The 20,975-nt window shown below is 52.1% G+C and overlaps 3 protein-coding genes, 1 long non-coding RNA gene and 2 other non-coding genes across 57 annotated transcripts in view, besides 7 other annotated features; 3 read left to right on the plus strand and 3 right to left on the minus strand.

Moving 5' to 3' along the window:
* FANCI (FA complementation group I) overlaps positions 1-1,729 on the plus strand; it is a 73,281-nt gene extending 71,552 nt beyond the window's left edge. For 48 of the 51 annotated variants that reach the window (XM_047432789.1, XM_047432806.1, XM_047432815.1 and 45 more), the window contains one exon: positions 867-1,729. In XM_047432789.1, coding sequence (XP_047288745.1) covers positions 867-929 — 63 coding nt within the window. In that variant the 3' untranslated portion in view covers positions 930-1,729. The remainder of the gene's footprint in view (positions 1-866) is intronic. The other 3 variants (NM_001376911.1, NM_001376910.1, NM_001113378.2) reach the window with 1 other exon arrangement.
* Positions 790-19,294, minus strand: POLG (DNA polymerase gamma, catalytic subunit). Of its 2 annotated transcripts, none has more exons than NM_001126131.2 (23): positions 19,155-19,294; positions 17,566-18,383; positions 14,551-14,746; positions 13,413-13,580; positions 13,155-13,301; positions 12,926-13,005; positions 11,637-11,819; positions 11,382-11,533; positions 11,082-11,208; positions 9,920-10,156; positions 8,577-8,697; positions 8,285-8,371; positions 7,874-7,981; positions 7,212-7,372; positions 6,432-6,485; positions 6,206-6,323; positions 5,595-5,730; positions 5,236-5,482; positions 3,698-3,820; positions 3,401-3,569; positions 3,011-3,219; positions 1,846-2,006; positions 790-1,297 (listed from the first exon to the last, which is right to left on the minus strand). In NM_001126131.2, exons 2-23 carry the CDS (start codon positions 18,222-18,224, stop codon positions 1,221-1,223), a joined length of 3,720 nt encoding a protein of 1,239 aa, NP_001119603.1. In that variant the 5' UTR covers positions 18,225-18,383; positions 19,155-19,294; the 3' UTR covers positions 790-1,220. The 2 variants fall into 2 exon arrangements, with proteins under 2 accessions (NP_001119603.1, NP_002684.1); NM_002693.3 differs by having other exon boundaries at positions 19,143-19,294.
* Positions 11,209-11,280, minus strand: MIR6766 (microRNA 6766). Its single transcript, NR_106824.1, has one exon. It is a non-coding gene; the product is annotated as a microRNA 6766 (primary transcript).
* Positions 14,304-14,353: an enhancer, noted in NCBI's record as "active region_10046". NCBI's record gives its function as "activates an Ori minimal core promoter by ATAC-STARR-seq in GM12878 lymphoblastoid cells {active_cell/tissue: GM12878}" and the evidence as "EXISTENCE:reporter gene assay evidence [ECO:0000049][PMID:35858748]".
* Positions 14,678-18,279, minus strand: POLGARF (POLG alternative reading frame). The gene is made up of 2 exons (NM_001430120.1): positions 17,566-18,279; positions 14,678-14,746 (listed from the first exon to the last, which is right to left on the minus strand). Exons 1-2 carry the CDS (start codon positions 18,277-18,279, stop codon positions 14,678-14,680), a joined length of 783 nt encoding a protein of 260 aa, NP_001417049.1.
* Positions 18,562-19,063: an enhancer, noted in NCBI's record as "H3K27ac hESC enhancer chr15:89877323-89877824 (GRCh37/hg19 assembly coordinates)". NCBI's record gives its function as "activates a minimal SCP1, AML or CMV promoter by ChIP-STARR-seq in naive H9 embryonic stem cells {active_cell/tissue: H9 hESC(naive)}" and the evidence as "EXISTENCE:reporter gene assay evidence [ECO:0000049][PMID:30033119]".
* Positions 18,562-19,352: a biological region, named in NCBI's record as "H3K27ac hESC enhancer GRCh37_chr15:89877323-89877824".
* Positions 18,753-19,352: a silencer, noted in NCBI's record as "silent region_6793". NCBI's record gives its function as "represses an Ori minimal core promoter by ATAC-STARR-seq in GM12878 lymphoblastoid cells {active_cell/tissue: GM12878}" and the evidence as "EXISTENCE:reporter gene assay evidence [ECO:0000049][PMID:35858748]".
* POLG-DT (POLG divergent transcript) lies at positions 18,957-20,631 on the plus strand. The gene is made up of 2 exons (NR_186332.1): positions 18,957-19,324; positions 19,657-20,631. It is a non-coding gene; the product is annotated as a POLG divergent transcript (long non-coding RNA).
* TRR-TCG1-1 (tRNA-Arg (anticodon TCG) 1-1) lies at positions 19,543-19,615 on the plus strand. The gene has a single exon. It is a non-coding gene; the product is annotated as a tRNA-Arg (tRNA).
* Positions 19,933-20,032: an enhancer, noted in NCBI's record as "active region_10047". NCBI's record gives its function as "activates an Ori minimal core promoter by ATAC-STARR-seq in GM12878 lymphoblastoid cells {active_cell/tissue: GM12878}" and the evidence as "EXISTENCE:reporter gene assay evidence [ECO:0000049][PMID:35858748]".
* Positions 20,043-20,112: an enhancer, noted in NCBI's record as "active region_10048". NCBI's record gives its function as "activates an Ori minimal core promoter by ATAC-STARR-seq in GM12878 lymphoblastoid cells {active_cell/tissue: GM12878}" and the evidence as "EXISTENCE:reporter gene assay evidence [ECO:0000049][PMID:35858748]".
* Positions 20,453-20,502: an enhancer, noted in NCBI's record as "active region_10049". NCBI's record gives its function as "activates an Ori minimal core promoter by ATAC-STARR-seq in GM12878 lymphoblastoid cells {active_cell/tissue: GM12878}" and the evidence as "EXISTENCE:reporter gene assay evidence [ECO:0000049][PMID:35858748]".

A 20,975-nucleotide genomic window follows, 5' to 3' on the forward strand; every position in this document is an offset into this window, starting at 1 on the left:
TCTCAGAAGGGTTGTAAACTTTGGACCACACAAAATCCTATGAAGTTGCCCCGACTTGTTTGATAAACACTTCCAGGAAGCAGGTGGTAACAAAACAATGTCCTGCTGTGGGTCCTCTTCCTGTTAATCTTTTAAACTACTGGATGATGACCAGCTATAGCAGTCTGGCTCAGAAACTAGTTTACCTCTCATGTCATGCCCTCATTCAAAGGCCACTCATTAGTTTGGGTTAAGGCTTCTTCCTTCAATTCATGCCAATGTCTTGTCCTTTTCCCTTGTGGTTTGTTCCTCTCCCTTTACTCTTAGCAAGTGACAGTACCGCATCCCCATCCCTGCACCACCTTTGAAACAGAACCCAATGTTTCCTTACTTCTAGCACCTAAAATTTTCATCTTAGGTTTGTCTAATAAGTAGCAAATCAGTAGCCCACTCCCATTTCAAAACTGGAAGTTTACATACAAGTGCCCTGGATTTCAGAATTTTGAACATGCATTCTTCAGATGATCACACTCCAGGCTCTAATGTACCTGGCCCCATCCACTCTCTTTACCCACTTGGCAGCTGCACTCAGGAGAGTCATGTAGCATTTTGATGTCAATGGCTTCTTCTCTTGTCATTTTGTCCCATAAGTATCCTCAGTATAGCAAAAGTCCTAAAAGGAGGTGCCACTGTCTTATTACTCTACACTTTGGAGGACTCCTTCCTCTTCTTCAACAACATAATTACCTCCTGTGAGTGGGAAAGTGGGGAAAGCATGACTAACAAAGGCTTTGATGAGAAGATAGAGTCTTTTTTTTCCTTCTTTTTATTTCCACTGCCTTGGAGCAGGTTTATCACGTTAGAGCATTAATTCTTTCCCCTTCTAGGGCACTGCATCAGAGCATGGGGGACAGAACAAAGAACCAGCCAAGAAGAAAAGGAAAAAATAAATGAAATGCCTGAGTTAATGTGAACTTTGGGGCTTCTGCTTCATTTTTACCCAACAAGCAACAATGCCCCTTGTCCTGTAGTCCACACCGATGTTGGCATCTTGGTTCTGAACCCACTGAATTCAACTGCACCTTCAGTTAGAAGGAATCTTCTTGGCAGGTCCTGCTACTGAAAAATGGCTGGCCTTAGGCAAGCCCTTTTGCAAAAAGCACAGCTGAAAGCCTGAGTTTGGGAGCCTGCACCACCCCGATGAAGCTCCACGGGAGCAAATACAGAGCCTCCAGGCAGTGCTATGGTCCAGGCTGGCTTCGTTTTTCCAAGGAGCCTTTGGTGAGTTCAATTATCTGGTAAATATCCAGCGCTTCACCTGAAAGATAGTGCAAATTGGTTAGGATGCCACCTCAAGAACTGTAACTGAGAGCTCAGAAGTGAGCAAAGGAGCTTAATGCTAAGGTCAAAAGGAGAGTGAAAGGTTGAGAACAATTGCCACGAACGGTAATGTTACATGTTAGGAGGGTCTGTTTTCTTTTTATATAAGTGTGTCTTAGATATATTTTAAATAGAAAATAAGCTTTCTGATTTACTTGTTTGGTATTTAAAGCACAGTTTGTTTTTCTGTCACCTATAGAGTGCAAGAATGCACTCTATAGAATAAATTATCTTTAAACATTTCTTCTGTGGTTGAAGTAGGGGACAGGTACAGGTAGAATATTTGAAGCTCTGCTGCCTTCATTTCTGAAACATCATATCACATTCACTCTGGACACAGGGCACCTTATAAACTGAAATTAGCCTAGAATATAGCCTGAGTCAAGAGTGGATTCTCTGGGGCCCCAAGTTTCCTGTTCTCCAAGACCCACTTTCTAGTCCACCTCAGATCCTATGTGTAATGAGGAACAAATGTGTTGTGCTCACCCTGGGGAATCCCGTATCTCCTTTCCATCCCAGTTGGGTTGGAAGGGGTTTTACAATCCATGGTCACTTCCTTCCTGAGGCACCGGTCAATATCGACTGCACTGAAAAAGGCGACTGACTGGGGCAAGTCATTCAGACCCAGCTTGTAGGCAAACATGCACCTGAAAGAGACCCAATCTACTCTCACAGTCATGCCCCTCCTGTGAACAGATGCATCACTCCTGGAGCAATGACCCCACACCCCTTAGAGCAGGGCTTCCCCTGGACCAACACCCCATCTGTTCACTTAGCTAAGTCAAGAAAGGTGAAGGTCCAGCACTGTTTTCCATCCAGCAGCCTAACCTCCCACTGAGATACTGAAATGCAATTATGGACTCAACATACTTTTTTTTTTTTTCCCAGTTTGGTACACTTTATTAATTAATATACGAAATCACTTCCAATTGGGCCAGAGTTTGAAGCATAAATGAGGACTTTTAGCTTTGTTAAGCATAACCTCCCGGAGATGATGATTAAGAGGGCAATGGGAACAATGTTGAATATTGTAAACATCTGTTATTTACCCAATAATCAGGATAGATCATGGTTCCCAAACTGGTTCTGAGTGGCAGATCAACATGGAACGGTAATATTTAATTCATCCATATGAACTAGGAATTTTACTACAAGAAAATACAACTCAATATATAAAATATATAAGATATTTTTAAAAATCACATTTGAGTGTCCCCATTAACAGTGTTTTCTGTTAGCAGTCAAATAACAAACTTTTGGCACTTACTTAAGAAAGAAAACATTTATGGGAGAAAGAAAAACAAACATCTCAATTTTCTATGAAATGAGAAAAGGCTTCTGTCATTTGATTTTCCAAATAGAAAAGCGTGAGTACCACCCTTCGGAACAATTCCCCTAACCTCACTGCTTCCCTCAATGATCAGTCTTGGTATTTCACATTTTCAAACCCAATAACTCTTTTTTTACGAATTGAGGCTAGTCTTTTTAGGACTTCTACAACTTTTTAAAAATTAGAAATAAATAAATAAGCTGAAACATTCACTTCTAGGGGGATGAAAAGTCAAAACTGACCAGTCTGGCCCAAGGAACGCTCACCCAAAGCCCCACATAGGAGCACATGGCCAGGCTAGAGGCCATGGGCCCCGCATACCTGGTCAAGAGGTTGGTGATCTGCAAGGCCAGGGCAGCGCGGTAGCGGTCCTCCTCCCGCACCAGGTAGCGAACCTCGTCATGGATGCTGATGCAGAAGCGCCCATCTATGGCAAACTCTTCAAACAGCCACTTCATGGCCACAAGCATGAGGTGTAAGTAGTCAACAGCAGAGCTCTGTACCACCCAATTCACACGGCTGGTCATAAACTGGGAAGGGAAGGTGGGCAGAGGTGAAAGGGGCTATGCTACATACCAATTAACTCCAGGGTAGAAGCCCCAAGAGAAGCTTCACTCTGGCCCTACCTACAAACATTGGTAAGGTCCACAGGGAGCTCTGCCCTGCCCTCCCTGGGGCCCCTCTGCCCATGCTCCAAAGGTAGCAAGATACCTCTTCCTGGACAGCCGAGGGCTCCAGGGCTCGGCTGATGCAGCAGCCCAGCACCGGGGTACGTGGTATGTCAGACGTAGCAATGCTCTCAAGCTTATTGAACATTTCTGACTCTGTGCCCCCCTTCCATGCCCGTTCAGCAACCACCTCCCACTTCTTCCACTGTGACCTAAGGGACCAGAAACAGAGGGCAGACTTTGTCTTTCAGCATCTCAAAGCTAAAAAACAAAGCATCCAAGCTCTTCTGGGGCAAGCCCAGACCCCTCCCTCCATCCTTAACACAAAGAAGGTTCTTACTTCCTTGCAGTTTCTCTCTGGACCTTGCGCAGATCCTGCAGGGAAATCCAGCCACCCTCAGTCCTGTCCACTGGGAGGTTCAACTCCCTCACCAGCCACTCGCCCTCATCCGACAGCCGATACCTGGGGGCAGTGTTATCACCATCATTCCACGGGAGTGCTTCCTGTGCCACGCTAGTGCCTTGGCAAGGAATGTTCACATATCACTTCAACTTTTAAAAACACTGACATCATGCCAGTCCCCTAAAGGCTTTTATTCAGAGGAAGAAACGGCTCAGAGAGGCTAAGTGCCTTGCCTAGGATCATGGAGCTAGAAAGAGATGCAGCCCAGGCTTTTGTAGCCCCAAAGCCTGGGCCACCCCATGGTAGCCCAATAAAGGACAAAGACTCCAGCACAGGAGGCACCACTATTCCTACTGTCCTGTTTCTTTAGACACTGAATTGCCCAATGACCAACACGGGCCTTTTATTCAGGAGGCAGCAAGGGCCATCACTCTAGATTTGGGGGGATAGGGGTAAGAATAGGCTACTCCCTGAAGGGGAGGGGGCATTTGTTGAAGCAGAAAACACAACAGCCAGGCCTGGCTTACCCCTCTCAACTGCCACAACCCTAGACAACTCCCAGCTTCCATCTAACCTGCAGACCTCACAAGGCTTGTCGCCTGAAGGCTCCAGAGACACGTCACTCGCATAAATGGCTTCCCCACCACCTGCACCCACAGTCCAAACTCCTGTGACACTTTCAAAGGTGTCCACAACTAAAGCCCCACCACCTTTCTCGCCTCCACCAGCACACGCTGCTCACGGTATGAGCCTTACCCGACCTCACTTTATCCACTGGACGATACTCAGCTCCCCTTCCCTGCATTTATAGTCATCAACCACTATATCATTTATCACATACTTAACTTTTAGTTGTTGACGAGAAAGTGAAGTTTCCACAATGAGCCAGCTAATTAAATGTGGACAGTGTACTGTACCTCAGGAAGTTGTACCTCTCTTCCCTCAATGTTTTTGGAACCCTGCAGAGAGTCTGCTAAGGCCCTGAGCACACAGTATGCAGTACGATCAGAGGAAACAAATTGGAGAGCTAGGCTAAGTAACCTGGAGGCCTGGTAATGCTTTCTCCAGTATCAACATCAGCCTACATGCTCCAGTTTGCCACAGCGCCCTCCTGTCAACTCCTGTCTTCCACCCACTCCATTTGCTCTCATTCCCTGTAGGCATCTGAGTTTGCAACCCCTGTATTATTGATTATGCAGCATAATCAGAATTGTCAAGATGCTACCACTTGGTAACAGTATACCAAAAGTATAGCTTTACTCCCATGAGGAAAAACTGTTTAAGGCTGACTATAAAGCAACCAAATGTCACAATAGGACAAATCATCCTGGAACCAGGTTACACAGGTGTGGAAGGAGAGGGGCTAGGTGAGAGTTCAAGTAATGGGCAGGAGATAGAACAGATGGTAGTACTAAAGGACAGTAAAGCAGGCCTCGGGTCCTGGGTGTTAAAGTGGATGGGAGAGGGACCCTCACCAGCGGAGGCCCTTGGTGGCAGCGTACATCTGCTGGGCCTTCTCAGCTGCCTCCTGCTGTGTGAGCCGGTGGTTAAACTGCATTAGTAAGCGCTCAGCAAAGGGCTGCCCAGCACCATAGATGCGGCCGTAGTTGAAGATTTTGGCATGCTCACGGCTGATGCCCACAGTAGTGGCTGTCTTACTGTGTAGATCAGTGCCCCTGCTCTTCCTGCCCTGCAGTGTCATCCACCCAAAGGCTGTGCAGCCTGGAAGACAAGCAGGAGTGAGAAAAGCAGCTCAGGAACATTCTGCCCAATGTTCATCAGAACTGTCAATATGCTGAGGGGCTGGGCTGCCCCAACCCCGGCTCCTGCTCACCATGCATGCCGGCAAAGTGGGCGTCTCCAAGCACAGCTGCAATCCACAGCTCTTGGGAGTCCACATCAGCACCCACAAGGGTGTAGCCAGGTGGGGCCTGCACCATGGCTTTCAACTCACTGCCTACTCGGTCAGGCTGTGGGAAGAGTGAGATACCCAAATGAGACTCTTCCTACCCCATTCCTGGAGCCAGAGTTGACTGAGAAAGAGCTAGAGCCTTTCCTGAGGGGATGGCTTTAGAGAATGCCAGACAGCACTGCTGAAATTCCACAGTTCCAGAGATGGCCACCTATCAGCAATTGGTGTGACAGGTAAAGAATCTACTCTATGCCTAGCGCTATGCCAGACCCCTCACCTACACGGTCCTATCTAAATTCCATGAGAGCTGTAGCTATTACGCCTGTCACGGTCTGGCCAGGAGCAGGTGCCCAGAACATATTTACTGAAGGAGTGGACAGAAATCATGAAGCCAGATTTGACTAGAGTCCTGCCTGACCCAGATCACAGGGTCCTTTTCATGATCCTCACTAAATACCTAAAGGCCCTCAGAGCCCAGTTTCTACAGACCTGGGAGAGGAAGAGCAGGGGCCAGAGGTACAGAGGTCACATACCCGGGCATTGCTGGCGGTGAGCCATGTGGGCTCCACAGCCCGGCGAGTGATGGTGCCGGCAGTCACCACTTGGGGCAGGATGGCCCCATAGAGGCCTTCCTCATCATAGTCGGGGTGCCTGGTGGGGTGCAGGGGAAGGAAATGGGTCTTAGCAGGGTGCTTTGGCCTTAGGACCTACCACCTCACCTCAGTTCTCCTATCCCTACAACCACTCAGCAGACCATACCTGATCACAGCACGGGGCAGAGCTGACCTGGGCAGCCACACCACCATCTGGGAGCTGTGGGGACAGACAACGTGAGGCTCAGCACAGCCATGGGAAGCAGAATCTATCCCACATCCCACCATGGCCCTCACCTGCCCACCTCCAGGACTGCTATACTCCATTACCCAGCCTCACTAACTGGACTCAAGGTGAGCCCTGGCTCAGCCAAGAACTGGGGCCCTATGATACACCAATCAAGAGCATAAACCATCTGGGAACCGGCCAGGCCTCCGAGCGAGCTTCCGCTCCTCTCCGGGGGGCATCCATGAGGCGCTCCTTCCACCAATGCCTCTTCCTACACACAGGCAGACTTCACCATCCCAACACCCACTCTGCTCGCCAGTGTGCTGATGGCCACAACCACCTTGGAAATGGCCTTCAAGATGAATACATTTGCCATTCCAGACTAGAAGACCCAGCTCCCAGCCCCCAACAGGGCTTACAGGCCACCAGCTCTCCATGGTCCTCAGCCATAGCCCACGGCTCCAGCAGTTACACCAAGAAGTTCTGTTGGAGCTACGAAGGGCTCTCATGGTCCTACAGCACCATTCTTTTTACATTAACAGGGAAACTGAAGCTAGAGGGGAGACCTGCCCAAGGTCCATGGCACCAGGACCAAAAGTAGCCAGGCCTCTAGACCATAGTCAGGCTGGCCCTCTGTGGGAATCCAGGGTTAGTCAGGGGTCCCTGGGTGGGAAGAGAGGGGAAAGGCATCCCAGGACTCCTCCCATGGTGGCCCACCTGATACGTTTATGGGCGTTCCTCCAGAAAGAAATCATTTTGTTGATTTCCAGAGCACGGGGCCCACTGGCACCTCCTGGGCCAGCCTGCAGGGTGCCATCCTCCATCTTGGGCAGGAAGTCCTTGGCAAAGGGGCTTCCCACATTACAGCTATTACCATCCTGGACAGAGCAAAGGAAGCAGGGGCTGGAGGCAGGTGGCAGACCCCTGGGTGGGGAACCAACGTGAGTACCTGCACTCCTCCCAACACTGAGCCCAGAACCTCAGCAGTCTGAGGCAAATCCCTGATTGTATCACGCACGCGCGCACGCGCGCACGCACACACACACGTGCACACACATGCCCCCTAAGACACACAGACACAAGCAAACCTGGCTCCCTGCATAATAACAAATCGGAAAAACCTATCACGTACCAGATGTCGTACCAAACATACGACGTGCCCCATGTCATTTAATTCCACCACCATGCCCCTTGCCACCCGACTTTCATTAGAAAAACAAAAGCTGAGAGATGACAGTATGTGCCTGAAATCACACTCTGTCCCACTACTAGTCATTCCCACAAAAAGGAAAGTCTCAGGTGTGTCACTCTGAAGGCCTGCTGTGGGCCTTGAGCAGAATGAGGAAACACCACAGGACAGGCCATGACCCAGGACACACCTTGTGAGGCAGCTTGAAAAACCAGCAGCCAGGGATGTCCACGTCGTTGTAAGGTCCATTGCCATGGTGATAGCTGGGCTGGGTGTCCTTGGGGCCACCACGGGCAGTCTGTGAGGGCCACACACCTATATCAGGCCCTGCTCCAGCACCTGCATTCAGCAAGGGCCATGGGGTAGGGGGTGGGAAAAGGGCCTGAAACTGTCGTCATCAGCTGGGAAATGACAAGATGGCCATGAGGTCTCACCCAGGCTTTCTCCTTGCTCCAACACGTGTGGGGCCTCCCAGGGGCAGGGTGGCATCTCCAACCCCCTTAAGACCTAGGGAACTCTGGCTGGGAAGAACTAGGTGGGCAAGAGGAAGCCCTTTCCACCCAGCACCCACCTAGAGAACCCAAGCCGGCGCACTGCTCACCAGAGCTAGGGGTTGACCTGGCACTGCAGCTCGCAAGTTCTCCATCTTGGCCTCAGCCTCCACTTCTAAGTAATCCAGTTCTTCTACCTGGAGCAGTCCAAGGACCAAAGTAGTGAAGCAGGGGACTGGGTAGGCCCCAATCCACCAGCCCCTCCCTGCATGGTACTCAGACACTGCAGGCCAGTCTGGGGTGAGCCACCAGTGCCAGCCTCCCACCCAAAGGCTGCCCCTTCCCTGGGTGGAATACAGAGACCTCCCCTCCCCAAAGCTCAGGTTCAGAGCCTGCCCTCACCGTTTGCCATATGGCACTATTGTCAGTGAGCAGGAACTCCTCCGCCAGGCCGGCCTCCTGGGGCATCAGCTGCTGCTTCCCCTGTTCGAGACAGTGCTTCCTGTACAGGGACTCGATGGCTCTGGGCAGAGAACAGTAGCAGCAGCAGCCGCTGATTACCAGATGCCCACTCTGGGCCAGGCAGCTTGCTAGTGCCTTCCACAATTCCCTTTGTTTAGTCCTCAGAATCAGCTCTGAGGCAGAACCAGATAGCACTTTCCCGGGTTTTAGACAGGGATTGATTGACAAACTGAAAATGACAGCACCCTGGCAGCAGGCTGGGGTTCAAGGCCTTGTCTCACTCAAATCCAAGTTCCTCTTACACTACAGAGCTGCCGTCTCAAGAGAAGTTCTGAGAGCACAGCAGCGGGAGGACAGGACCCAAGGCCCAGCTGCAGGCTGGCTCCTGTCCGCTCACCTACCCTCGGGCTCAAAGGAGCAAGGCCAGTGTTATCCCCTTTGGTCCCATGGCCCCATAAGAGACTCAGGCTGCCCTGAAGAGCCAGGACTCTTAATTCTGGGCCACTGTAAGTTTCTCCCCAACACCTGCCTGCCTAAAGCTCAGGGTCTGTGATCTTAAGTCAACCAAGCCTTTGTCAACTACAACATGGGGATAACCATTCTAGCTCATGGGACTCCTTGGGGAACAAATAAGGGAAGCACTGCTTGGCCCATAATTATCACTCAAATTATATACACACACTTTTTTAAAAGCCCATCTCCCTGCTACTTGTAACAGCCCTCCGCATGTTCCTGTGAAGGCAGCTATGCTTCTGGGCCCAAGAGTAGGGCCTTTAGTCCTCCCCACTGTGAACATCTCAACATACTCCCTCCCAGAGCTCTGAGATCCAGAGGGTAAGGGTAGCCATGGAAGAAAAAACCTGAACCCAGAGAGTGAGTGAGTGAGTGAGAGAGTGAGTGAGTGAGTGAGTGAGTGAGAGAGTGAGTGAGTGAGAGAGTGAGAGAGAGTGAGTGAGTGAGTGAGAGAGTGAGTGAGAGAGTGAGTGAGTGAGTGAGTGAGTGAGAGAGTGAGAGAGTGAGTGAGTGAGAGAGTGAGTGAGAGAGTGAGTGAGTGAGAGAGTGAGTGAGAGAGTGAGTGAGTGAGAGAGAGAGTGAGTGAGTGAGTGAGAGAGAGAGAAAGAGAGAGAGAGAGGGTGTGTGTGTGTGTGTTAATTTTTTTCCTGTTTTCCCTTCTTCTGAACCCAGACTCTTGAACCCAAACTCTTTCCACTAGCCTGAGCTGACCAGCCAGGGGAAGGGGTCCCTAGGCTCCAGCCCCTTCCTCCCCTGGGCCTAAGCCTTACCTGTAGGGGCAGACCACCCCAGCTGACTCCAGGGTGGTACCTGTCGGCAGCTTGGCCAGGTTGTCCCGCCGCCCAGGCACCAAGTAGCCCCAGCCATGACGCTCTGAGTAGTGCAGAGGGAAGCCATCCCAGGTAAGTGCCATGAGTTTAGGTGTGACCCGCATCTGCAGGCTGAGGAGGCTGGGGCCCGGGGTCCATGCAGGGTCGTCTAGCCGGGGGCAGAGCTTCCGGTACCATCTACGTCCCAGCAGGAAGACAGCAGTGTCACGATGGTAAGGGCAGTTGTTGGGGGGAAGGTTCTCTCTCTCACAATGTCCCCACCCACCCTCCAAAGCCCTGGGGCTTTCTGGTGACCCCAGCCTACAGCCGCCATCCCCTCCTCTGGGATGCTTTAGCCAGGACCCCCATGGAATCCTCTAGAAGAATATTTCAAAAGCAAAGACACTAAGTCAGTCCCACTGGACTAGTCAGAAGCCAGGACACAAAAGCATACCCTGACCCAGGGCAGGGCTCCTTCCCAAGCTCCATTTCATCCAGGGTAACTGACCAGAGGAGGGAGCAGATCTGCCCTCCCCACCCCTCTAGAGAAACACCAGTCCTTCTGGGTGCTCTCTTGCAGGCTGTTCACCAGAGTTGAGCCCAGGGTGAGACTAGCAAGGCACTCAGGACACTTGCTCTCAGGGTCTTGCAGGTGCAAAGCTGGCACCCTGCTGCTCACCCTGGCTGCCCTTTTTCTCATCTCTGCCACCCTATGAGGCTCAAAGGAAGGGGCACCTTCTCAAGGAAGCCTTCTTGATTTATTTCCCGAGGCAGAGTCAGAACTCTACCTATGGACACTAGCTGCACTGGCTGGTCTACGTGCCTGGCTCCTCCTAGGAAAAAGAACTACTGGAAAGGAGGAGCTATGCTCCAGTGTGTACACCCGGTGGCTGCCACGGGCCATTGCACAGCAGGTGCTCACAACACTGTGCTGAATGAGTCCAGTGAGCCGGTCCAGAGTGAGCAAATGAGAATAGGACTGGAAGACAGTGTGACTGAATGGCAGCAGGTCAATAAGTATACATGTGCATGATGCCTCTGTGCCAGAACCCAGACCAGGGCTGTCCTGAGAATGGAGCAAGGGTAGACTCTAGATACACTGCTGGGGGTGGGCAGGGCTCACCCAGGGTGTCCAGGAAGGTGCTGGGGCCGCTTGGGCAGGAGCTCTGTGGTCCCCTTCAGCTTCTGCAAGCAGGCGCGGGCCATGACATCTTGTTGAAACTCCTCCTCCTCACTGCAGGGGCCGAGGTCTGTGAGGGTGGGGGAAGACAATCAGGAGCAGGAGAAGGAACTCTCAATAAGATCTGCTCCCACCCGCTCATCTCCAGAAGGCTGGAGCAATCCTTTCGAAGGACCCCCTCAATCACAGGACCTTCCCAGAGACAACCCCTACCCTACCCTACCTCCCACCCATGCTCCCCACCTTCCTGATCCATGGGATCACCAGGGGCCCCAGCCCCCTCGATGGGCAACTTGCTGGCTGTGGCTGGTTCCTTCTTCACCTTCTTAGCTTTCTTCTGCTTAAATTCTTGCAGGTCCCACTCCAGGTCCCAGAGCCAGGGGTCTTCTTTGTACCTACAGAGCCAGTCCACTAGGGCAGGGCTAAGGCTAAGCCGAAGGCTAGGCCGCCCACCTGCCAGTCCCCTGCCTAGATCCTGCCCACCCAAGGCCTGGCTACCTCTCTCCTGAGAGCAGCTGGCAGGCATCATTGGCCAGATCCATCAACGACTTCTTCATCTCCCGCTGGAGCTCCTCATAAGTGCCCTGTGCCTCTGCCAGGTAACGCTCCCAGTTCTGGTTGACAGGCAGGTAGGAGACACCCATCTCCAGCATGCCGGCCAGAGTCACTGGGTGGGGACACCTTGGAGGCAAACACCAGGAGCTGCCATAAATGACCACAGGAGGCAAGACTGGCCCAATCCCTGAGCTGGTTTAGCAAGCCTCAACCCAGCCACTGACATGGCACAGCTCAAAAGTCAGACGGCATTAAATCCCAGCTCTACTGTTACTCATCCCTGGGTAAGCAACCCCATCTCTCGGAGCCTCAGTTCTTTCATCTATAAAATGGGAACAATATCATCCCATCCTCAGGGGTAATGTGGGAAATATAGATGGCAAAAGTGAAAATGGCTGCCACACGTGGAGTAATGACTCTGTGCCAGGCACTGTGCTAATAATCCCATACATGAAAAACATCATGCCTGAACCTCACAACTTGGGTGGTAAAATACAGCTGACATTTAAACAACACATGTCTGGATCGTGCAAGTTCACTTACACATTTATTTTCTTCAGCCTTAGCCACCCGAGACAGCAAGCCCAACCCCCGCCCTCAGCCTACTCAACGTGAAGGATAGATATCTTTATGATGATCCACTTCCACCTAATGAATAGTAAACATATTTTCTCCTCATGATTTTCTTAATACATTTTCTTTTATCTAGCTTACTTTAAGAATACAGTATATAATACGTATAACATAAAAAATATGTATTATGTTATCAGTAAAGCTTCTAGCCAACAGCAAGCTATTAGTAGTTAAGCTCTGAGGGAGTCAAAAGTTACACCCAAATTTTCCTCCCTTCTTTTTTCTTTCCATATCTTTGGTACAAATATACCTGAATTTTCAGCATACAAGGGTCACTTCATAAGACAGACTCATTAATAAACATAACCACGCTGTATGTGAAGCCCTTGGCTAAGGATCTAGTTAGAGAAGGTGCACAGTAAACCAGGACCGTGCACATGACACACAAGCACAACTCCATGGCCCTCCCCTTCAGGGCCTCTGTCAAATCCAGAGTCCAGGGCCCAGATGGACACCACTGAACAGAAGGGCTCCATTCTTTCAGCCTAGAAAAGCTAAGGTCCCCAACCTGAGATAGAACCAGCGCCACCTGATTACAGTGGGCCCGGGTACCAGGAACACACTGACCCCCAGAGATTCCCACATGGGCTCCCCCTCACCTCTCCAAGAAGAGCGGTAGCTGCTGCTGGAAAACCTCATGGGTGGCCCACACGTCCTGGGCACAGTACTGCATCAGGTCCTGGCACAAGGTGACAGGAAGGCGCAAGGTGGGCAGCCATCCCATTACCACCACCAGCTCTCAGGGTCAGGCCTGGCAGCTGCATCTCCCCAAGTGCAGCTAGGGGTGTGCCACAGCCCATGTCCCCAGAGCCCCCTCCAGCACCATACCTGGAAGTTCTCACGAATGTCCTTCATGGTGCCCTTCACAAACAGTTCTCGAGGCTCCTTCTCTAAGGGAGGCCCCCCTACATAAAGTCTGTGCACCTCTGCCAGACTGTTGACACTGCTGATGTCCAGCCAGTCCCAGGATGAGATCTGGGGAACCAGAGCAAGGGACATGGCAGATCAGCCTGGCCTCGGGCCAGACGGGCTGGTGAGAGGGGGTCCCAAGCACTATGCTCCTGCCCACCGGCAGTGTGCTCTCACCGCTGGGCCTCTTCTGGCTTTCCTCTGGGACTTCTGGCCTTGCTTTGTGGGGGGCTGGACCTTGTGTTTGCCCTGCTTGGCTGCTATCCACAGACTGCGCTGGAAGCTGCTTAGCCCTGAGATGGCCATGTGCATGCTCATGGTGTCCAGGAAACGCATGCGGGAACCCTGAGGAGGAGGAGGAGAAAAGGGAAGGGAAGGAGGGAGGCTGCAACTGTGGGGCCAGCCCACCACTGCTTGGTGGTGTGGACCTCCAGCCCCACCTCAGCTCCTCAAACAGCCTCCCCTCCCAGCACACAGCCTTCAACACCAAATACAGAATCCTCATGCTTGTTCATGCTTGCCCCATCACCTGTAAGGGGCCTGCCTTCCCAAATCCTAGCCACCCTTTAAGATGCAGGCCTGGCTCAATCCCAATGTGCAAGTCCTTCTCAGCTTCCAACAATAGCTCTGAGCAACGTAGATACAGAGTGGCCAAAATAAAGCCTTCAGGGCTATCTGGTCTGGCCCCAACCCTGCCACTCAAAAGCTCTGTGGCCCTGAGCATGTCAACAAGGCTGTCTGAGCCTCAGCACCCTCAGCTATAGGGTAAGGTTGCTCTCCCCTGCCTGGCCTATCTTCTAGGGCTGTTGTGAAGATCCAGTGAAAAAACACTTTTCATAAAATTAAGAATTGCCACTACTATACACCAGGCAGAGTGCTGAGTGTTTGACATGCAGGCATTGTTCCAACCCTCCTATTAATCCTATGAGATTTCTGTTATGTCTGCCTTTTTATAAAAAAGGAAACTAAGACTTAGAGATGTTAAGGCGCTCACAGTAGTCATCGGTGGTTAAGGCAGGAAGTGAGCCCAGGCTGTGGCTCAAAACCTTCAAGACCCATGCTAAGCTCTAAAATGCCACAGAGACGAAGGCCATTATTACTTTGTGACAACTTAGGTCCTATACCAGGCTTTCCCGGGGACATACAACAGCTAGGCACAGAGACCAGAGGCACAGCTGGTCAACAGATGCGCCTTGCGGCTTCAGCAAAGGCAACAGAGACACGTGCCAGGAAAGGAGTACCTCCCCTAACCACTGAGATTAGGGCTCCTGGCCCATCCCATGCCAGAACCTGCAGTTGGCCCCAGGAACCTTACCTGGATCAGGTACTGCTCCCTGATATGAGCTCGGTCAAAGGAAACATTGTGCCCCACCACTAACTGCTCCTGCCAGTCTCTCTGGGTGGGGCTGCTGGCACCAGTAGGGACCTCCAGGGGGATGAGGTCAGCCGGCGACAGCTGGCTGGTCCAAGAGTAACGCTCTTCCACCAGCCGCTGGCTGCACCAGGAATACCTGAGGGAGGTGAGAGGCAGGCAGGTTCACCATGGAGACATTAAACTTCCACTCCACAACAACCACTGCACACCTACCGCCACATGCCAGATGGTGCATTGGCAGCTGGGGACACAAGTGAGACCAAAGGGTGCTCCTAACTCAAACAGCTACAGGTCAGGTGTGGCAGGGTGGGTGTGTGTGCTGGCGGGCAAGAGCTACAAAAGCTTCTTTAAACTTCTGCACATAAAAATGGAACTACTGGGCTATTAGACCTACGTGCAGGTATTCTATTACAGCCTGGGCTATCAAGGTGTTTGCTAGGCCCAGCGTTCACTGAGTCTGCATCTAGCTCTGAGGTTTTATGAACATTATCAACCCCTCACGTCTACAGGCACAAACCAGCTACTGTTCAAAGTACTAGTAAAGGAGATAGACAATAACAGAACCCAAGGTGGAGATTTAATTGAATTGGCAAAAAAAAAAAAAATGACAAATGCTGCTGCACACATGTACAGGATGAATCATCTCACGGCTGAAAAGATTCTGGGGGACAAAGAGCAAATCACACACCTTGGAGAAGCAACCACCCTCAGTGAGAACCAGGGAAAGTGCCAGAATGAGAAAATGTATGTGTATGTGACAGGGTTGGGGTGGGAGGGATAGGGGATGAGTGCTGCCTGTTGGGGGCCCGACACTGATTCAGGAAAAGGCTGCAGTTTGCTCAAGATCCACAAGGCTAGGTGTAGGGGAATGGCCACTGAGGAAATGCCTGTTGCAAGCCACAGATTATTCTAAACAATCAAGGCCCACTCAGCATCAAAGTGAGTGACGAGGCCACGTGTGGACAACACAGCTGCGAAGGAGCTCCTTGCAACCTTTATGGAAGGGAAAAAGGGAGTATCTGCCTCAACAGATTCAACACACATAAAACTAACTTCTTTCAAAGAGAAAGCAAAAAGAGGTTCCTAGTTTTAAACCTGACAAAATCGAACTCATACTCCAAATGGTGAAAATAAGCCAAGGGACTGAAAGAAATCCCCACCCCCCCACATTTTAATTCAGCATGTCAAAGCCCTTAAAACAACGCAGACAAAAAGGCTAAAGAATGCCAAATCTTTGAGGCCATGGTGGTAACAGGAACTTTGGTTACAGTAAAAAGCCACACTGGTGTCAAGATGCAGCTCTGCAGCTGTGCATGAAGCCATATTATAAACTAGTGATTAAAAAGAAACAAGCCAAATTTAAGATGAGTAGGGATCCATGCCATTAATACTAGTTTTACTGTGAATCTTAGAAAAATGCTGATGGCCAGAGAGACGTCCCTCTAGCCTGATGGCCGAAGCCCTTACCAACACCCTTTGGGAAGAAGCTGCCCTGTGGGAGGCTCATAGCTGACTACCGCTTCTCCTCCCATTGTAAATTGTGGGCTGGTCAGGTACCTAATGTTACTCAGCTAAGGGGCAGGGGCATGCCCAGGTTCAAAGTGGACCGCTATTAGGGCACCATGTGGCACCCACCCCCACCCACCAGTCAGACTCCCAGGAGGAAGGTCCCAGCATGAGCCCAGGCCTTAACAGTGACTTCTGCCATCAGGTCAACTAAGCAATGCCCCGAGTACCACTGGCAAGAATGGAATGAGAATGAGGGCAGAGCAGGGAAGGACAGGGAGGGAAAGGAGAGGTAAAAAGAGAGAAAGAAGGAGAAAGAGAAAAGAAAAGGGGACTTGAGGTAATTTGGCCTAAAATGACCGACAGATCAAAAAACAAATCTTTCTTGTCACTGGTTTCCTAATTTTCTTTCAGCCACCAAAGCCTACTTTATCTTTTCAAATGATGGCCGATATTCCCCTTTACTTTGACCATCAAGTTACATATTCTAAGTAGTGTGATTCTCATTGTAACTGGAACTCAATCAATGCAGAATCATCTAGTTTTGCTCTTTTCAGCCATTAATGCCTACCTTATCTATTTAGCCATGTTTTCACCATTTTCAACTGCATATTTAACATTTCGCAGCTTTCTTTACAAAGATGTAGCTTCCAATAGGAATAAAGAAACTGCCAACTTTTTTGCTGGCCATGCCTGAAAGCATTAAGGTTGTAAATAGTATTTTAATCCTGGAATGAAGAATAAAAAAAGGGGAGAAACAGTACTGCCATCATTGTTTGAAAAAGAAACTTGGGTAGCACTTAGAAAGTTATTTAAAAAGAAAAGAGAGATTGGATATACTTGTTTGGGACCAAAATGCCTGCTTGGAAGGCTGGGGGAAGGAAGCAATGTTTCTCAACTAGGGGTGGTCAACCAGATGCCACCTCAAGGGGGCGTCTGGAAACGTTGCCGGCGGGGGCAGGGGGGCGGGGGGGTGTTGGTCTGGCGTTTATGGGAAAGGCTGGGGATGCTAAATGTCCTATACTGCCTGGGACAGTCCCACAAAAGGGAGCTTTCTACCGCCCAAAATAATTAATAGCTCCCCAAATAGAAACACTGTTCAAATGACTTTTCAGACTAACTTCTCATGACGCTATTAGGAGAGGGGGTAAAGGCACCAAATCACCGTGATCTTAAGTGGCCTCCCGAAGGTCTCATGTACAGCGCTCTACTGTGATTCTCTGCGTGGCCTTTACTGCCTGACATTTACTTGGGTATTTGCTTACTGCCTGTGATCTTCCCACCAGAAAGTGAGTCCCACATAAACAGGGGTCTAGTCCTAATTCAACACATCAGCGCTCCCTACGTGAGCACCCAGCCCGTAACAGGACCTCAGAAAATGTTCACTGAAACAAACTATTAAGCTGGGCCCCCATGCCTGCTTATGTCCCCAACCCTGCCCCTACTTACCAGGCCGAGGGGGATATGGCCACCGCCAATGTGGGGCAAGTTCCCTCTGCCAAGCAGACCTCCACGTCGAACACCAGGGCCCGCTCCTCGGGGATGGCCACGGGTACGGCCTCCCCCTCGGGGCCGTACCGGGTCCAGCCCTCCGCCCAGGCCCAAGCCGGGGGCTTCGGGGGCAGCTGGGCCTGCAACAGCAAGTTGGCCGCCTCCAGGTAGGGCAGGCTCTGCTTCTGGGCCAGGAGGCGGAAGTGCTGGTCCAGGTTGTCCCCGTAGAGGGGCGGCAGGCGCAGCTCCACGTCGGGCAAGGGCACGGCTGGCTGCCCCCAGAGCCCGTGCTTCTGCAGGTGCTCGACGCTGCGGCGCACCGCGGCCTCGCCAGGCATCTCCCCTCCTTGCCCGAAGATTTGCTCGTGCAGCCCTCTCGAGAGCATCTGGATGTCCAATGGGTTGTGCCGCAGCTGCCCGCCCTCCGAGGATAGCACTTGCGGCTGCTGAGGCTGCTGTTGCTGCTGCTGCTGCTGCTGCTGCTGCTGCTGCCGCCGCCGCTGCCCGTCGCTGGGGTCGGACGCGGGGACGGAGCTGGAGACCCAGCGCCCCGGAGCTGGAACCGGCCCTGGCCCGACGGTGGCGCCGGCCACCTTCCTCCAGAGCAGGCGGCTCATGGTTGGTGCAGGGACCCCCACGCTGGGAGTCAGAACACCTGGCTTTGGGCTCCAGCTTGGCTTCTTTTACTGGCTGGAAGACGTGGAGAGAGACACGTCCTGTCTCTGCTCTCCTGTCAGTGAAATGGGTTTGACCATGCCTGCCTTCCACCCCAAATCCTAAAGGAGACAGATGATATAAAGCGTTATTTTACCATATATGTAATAGGTGTATCCATAATCATCATTCCTTGAGCATTTACTGCGTCCCCAACACTGTGCCAGGCGCTTCAGTTGCATTTTCCGTTAAGCCTCAAAACTTGGGAAACGTCAATACCCCTCCTGGGGGAACCGGGGTCCACGCAACTTCGTCAGTGAACCCACGTGGGGAAGCCGAGGGCAGCGAGTAAGAGAGCAGTATCTGGAGTAGGGCGACGCGGTTTTGAACCCCGCTTCTGGCTCTCTCGAGCTGTGTGACCTTGGGCAAAGCTCCTTAGGCCCTGATATCCTATTCTGTAAAATGGGATTACGGATTCTGCCTGTCACACCGGGCTGCTGTCTGGGGGACACAGGGCGCCTATGTCGTGCGGCCCTGCTCTTGGCAAGCGCTCGGCAAATGGTGGCTGCCATTACCGCGACCGGCGCGGGCCTAGCGTCGAGAGGTGCCAGCGCCCGGATTCGAACCCGCAGGGTGGGCCGCCGTCCCCCGGGACCCACACCCACACCCGGACCACGGCCCACCCGGCCGAGAGCGTCCTGCAGGAGGAGTCGGCGGCCACCCCCGTGCGCCCCGCCGCCCGCCTGCGCCCGGCAGAGGCGCCGCGGTGCGCCCTGGGACTAGCCGCCGCCCTGCTCCGGGCCTCGCTCCCTGACTGGAGAGGGAGGGGCCGCGCCGTCGCTCAGCGACCCGGCCTCCCCGCCGCCGACCCCGCCGGAAACCTCGGTCCTCACGGTGCTTCCCGGTCTGCTGCTCCCCCGACCCCAGGCCCACGGCACGGCGTCCCCCTTCGCGCGGCCTACGCAGCCTCGGGGTAGCGTGTGGCCTCCACCCGGCCGGTCCGCTTCGCTGGCAGCCGCAACTTCCCGTCTGCACCCAGCTAGGTCCCGCGGCTACCCGAGAGGCAAGCGGGAGACTCCCAGCGCGACCAATAGGAGGGCCGCCAATGGAGCGGTCCGCCCGCGGGGGGAGAAGGGGGACTTCTGGGTGGGCTCTCCCTGCGGAACGCGCGAACCAAAGGCCAACCTCCCCTTCTCAAGGAGCAGGTGGATTGGTCCCGAGCTAGCTGGTGGGCGGAGGTGACGTTTTTATAAGTTGCTCAAGAGACGGTAACAACCGACGGGCCGCGTGGCCTAATGGATAAGGCGTCTGACTTCGGATCAGAAGATTGCAGGTTCGAGTCCTGCCGCGGTCGAAGGGAGGTTATGATTAACTTTTAGTTTATTCCTCCCTCAGGAACGAAGTATTGGGACAATGTGAACGTAGTCGCCGCCGATTCCCACCGCACTTCAAAGATGTGGGAACGCCAAGATCCGCGGAAGTAACCACGCCCAGCAAGTCCCTGCGAGATTGCCCGCCTACGTGTCTCAGCGGAGGCACATTTCTAAAATGTACCAGGTCTCTCGCACCCCGACGCAGGTGGAGGAAAGTGGAGAGGGAGGGGCATCCTGTACAGAAATCTCAATTTATACTCAATTGATGGTTGGCAAGAGTTGGGGCTCGCAGCCAAAGCGAGGCTCCCTCCCTCGCCCATCCGGTGCTGCCTCCTCGTCCAGAGCAATTCTGAGGGGTAAAAATGTTGCCTTCCGTTGAACCTGAATTTGCCCGCAGATGCTAGCCTCCGGCCCACAGCGCGGCTGGAGCTTGTCCCCTTCCCCAGCTGTTTCCAGTCTCCGCATCCGTCTTGTGTTGCTCCAGGTGCTTCAACAGCTCTCAGCGCTCGGTGGTTGGTGAACTGTGGTAAAGTGCACGCAGAATAAGGTCTACGTGATTAAGCACCGCCTGGGGGTTGGGGTCTGGAGGCCCAGCTGCACAGATGAAAGGGAGGCTCAGAGACGTTTGGGACCAACCGAGATCACACAGCTGATTAGGAATAAAATTCAGGTCAAGCTGAAAGTCGGCCGCCACCGTCCAGCGTGGATCCCAGGACACCGTGAACGGACTACAGAAGTTGACTTTCGCGTTTTTAAGGAGTGGGGTGCAGGGAAACAATCCTCCGCCGGCCCTGCGGGCTGATGCCGACCCTCACCTGCTCCCGCCACGTGGAGAGGTAGAGAGAAGCCCCGGGCCAAGCAGCATTGAGCCCTGGTCCCTTCTATTTAAATATGAAATATTTTGCATACACTTTTCTAGATGTACTTAATATACACAATGTTTTAATGTTTGTGATTTTTTTGTTTTGCCAAAAAAATACAATCAATCAGAAATTCATCTGTTTTTTTTTTTTTTTTCACATAACTGTTGACTTTTACAAAATACTGGAAGGAGAGGCTCTCAGCTTAAATCAGGGAGTCCCTGAATGGGGAAAACATTTTCATCTTGTTTCTTCTAACCGCCTACTGATACTTGGCATTTCCTCCAATTATGAGCATAGGCTGTCAGCCACAGTGGTATTAACAGTGCCTGTGACTTTGTCCCCTCCAGCAACCACAGATATTTTCATAACGCATTACAAGTGCTGCACATTTTTCAAAATTTGTTTGCACTTATCTGTACTTCAAAATAACAGGGGTTACTAGACTGCCACTAGATCCTGTTAGTTAATAAGTTTACCT

Source organism: Homo sapiens, chromosome 15 (assembly GCF_000001405.40).
Source record: "Homo sapiens chromosome 15, GRCh38.p14 Primary Assembly".
NCBI lineage: Eukaryota > Metazoa > Chordata > Mammalia > Primates > Hominidae > Homo > Homo sapiens.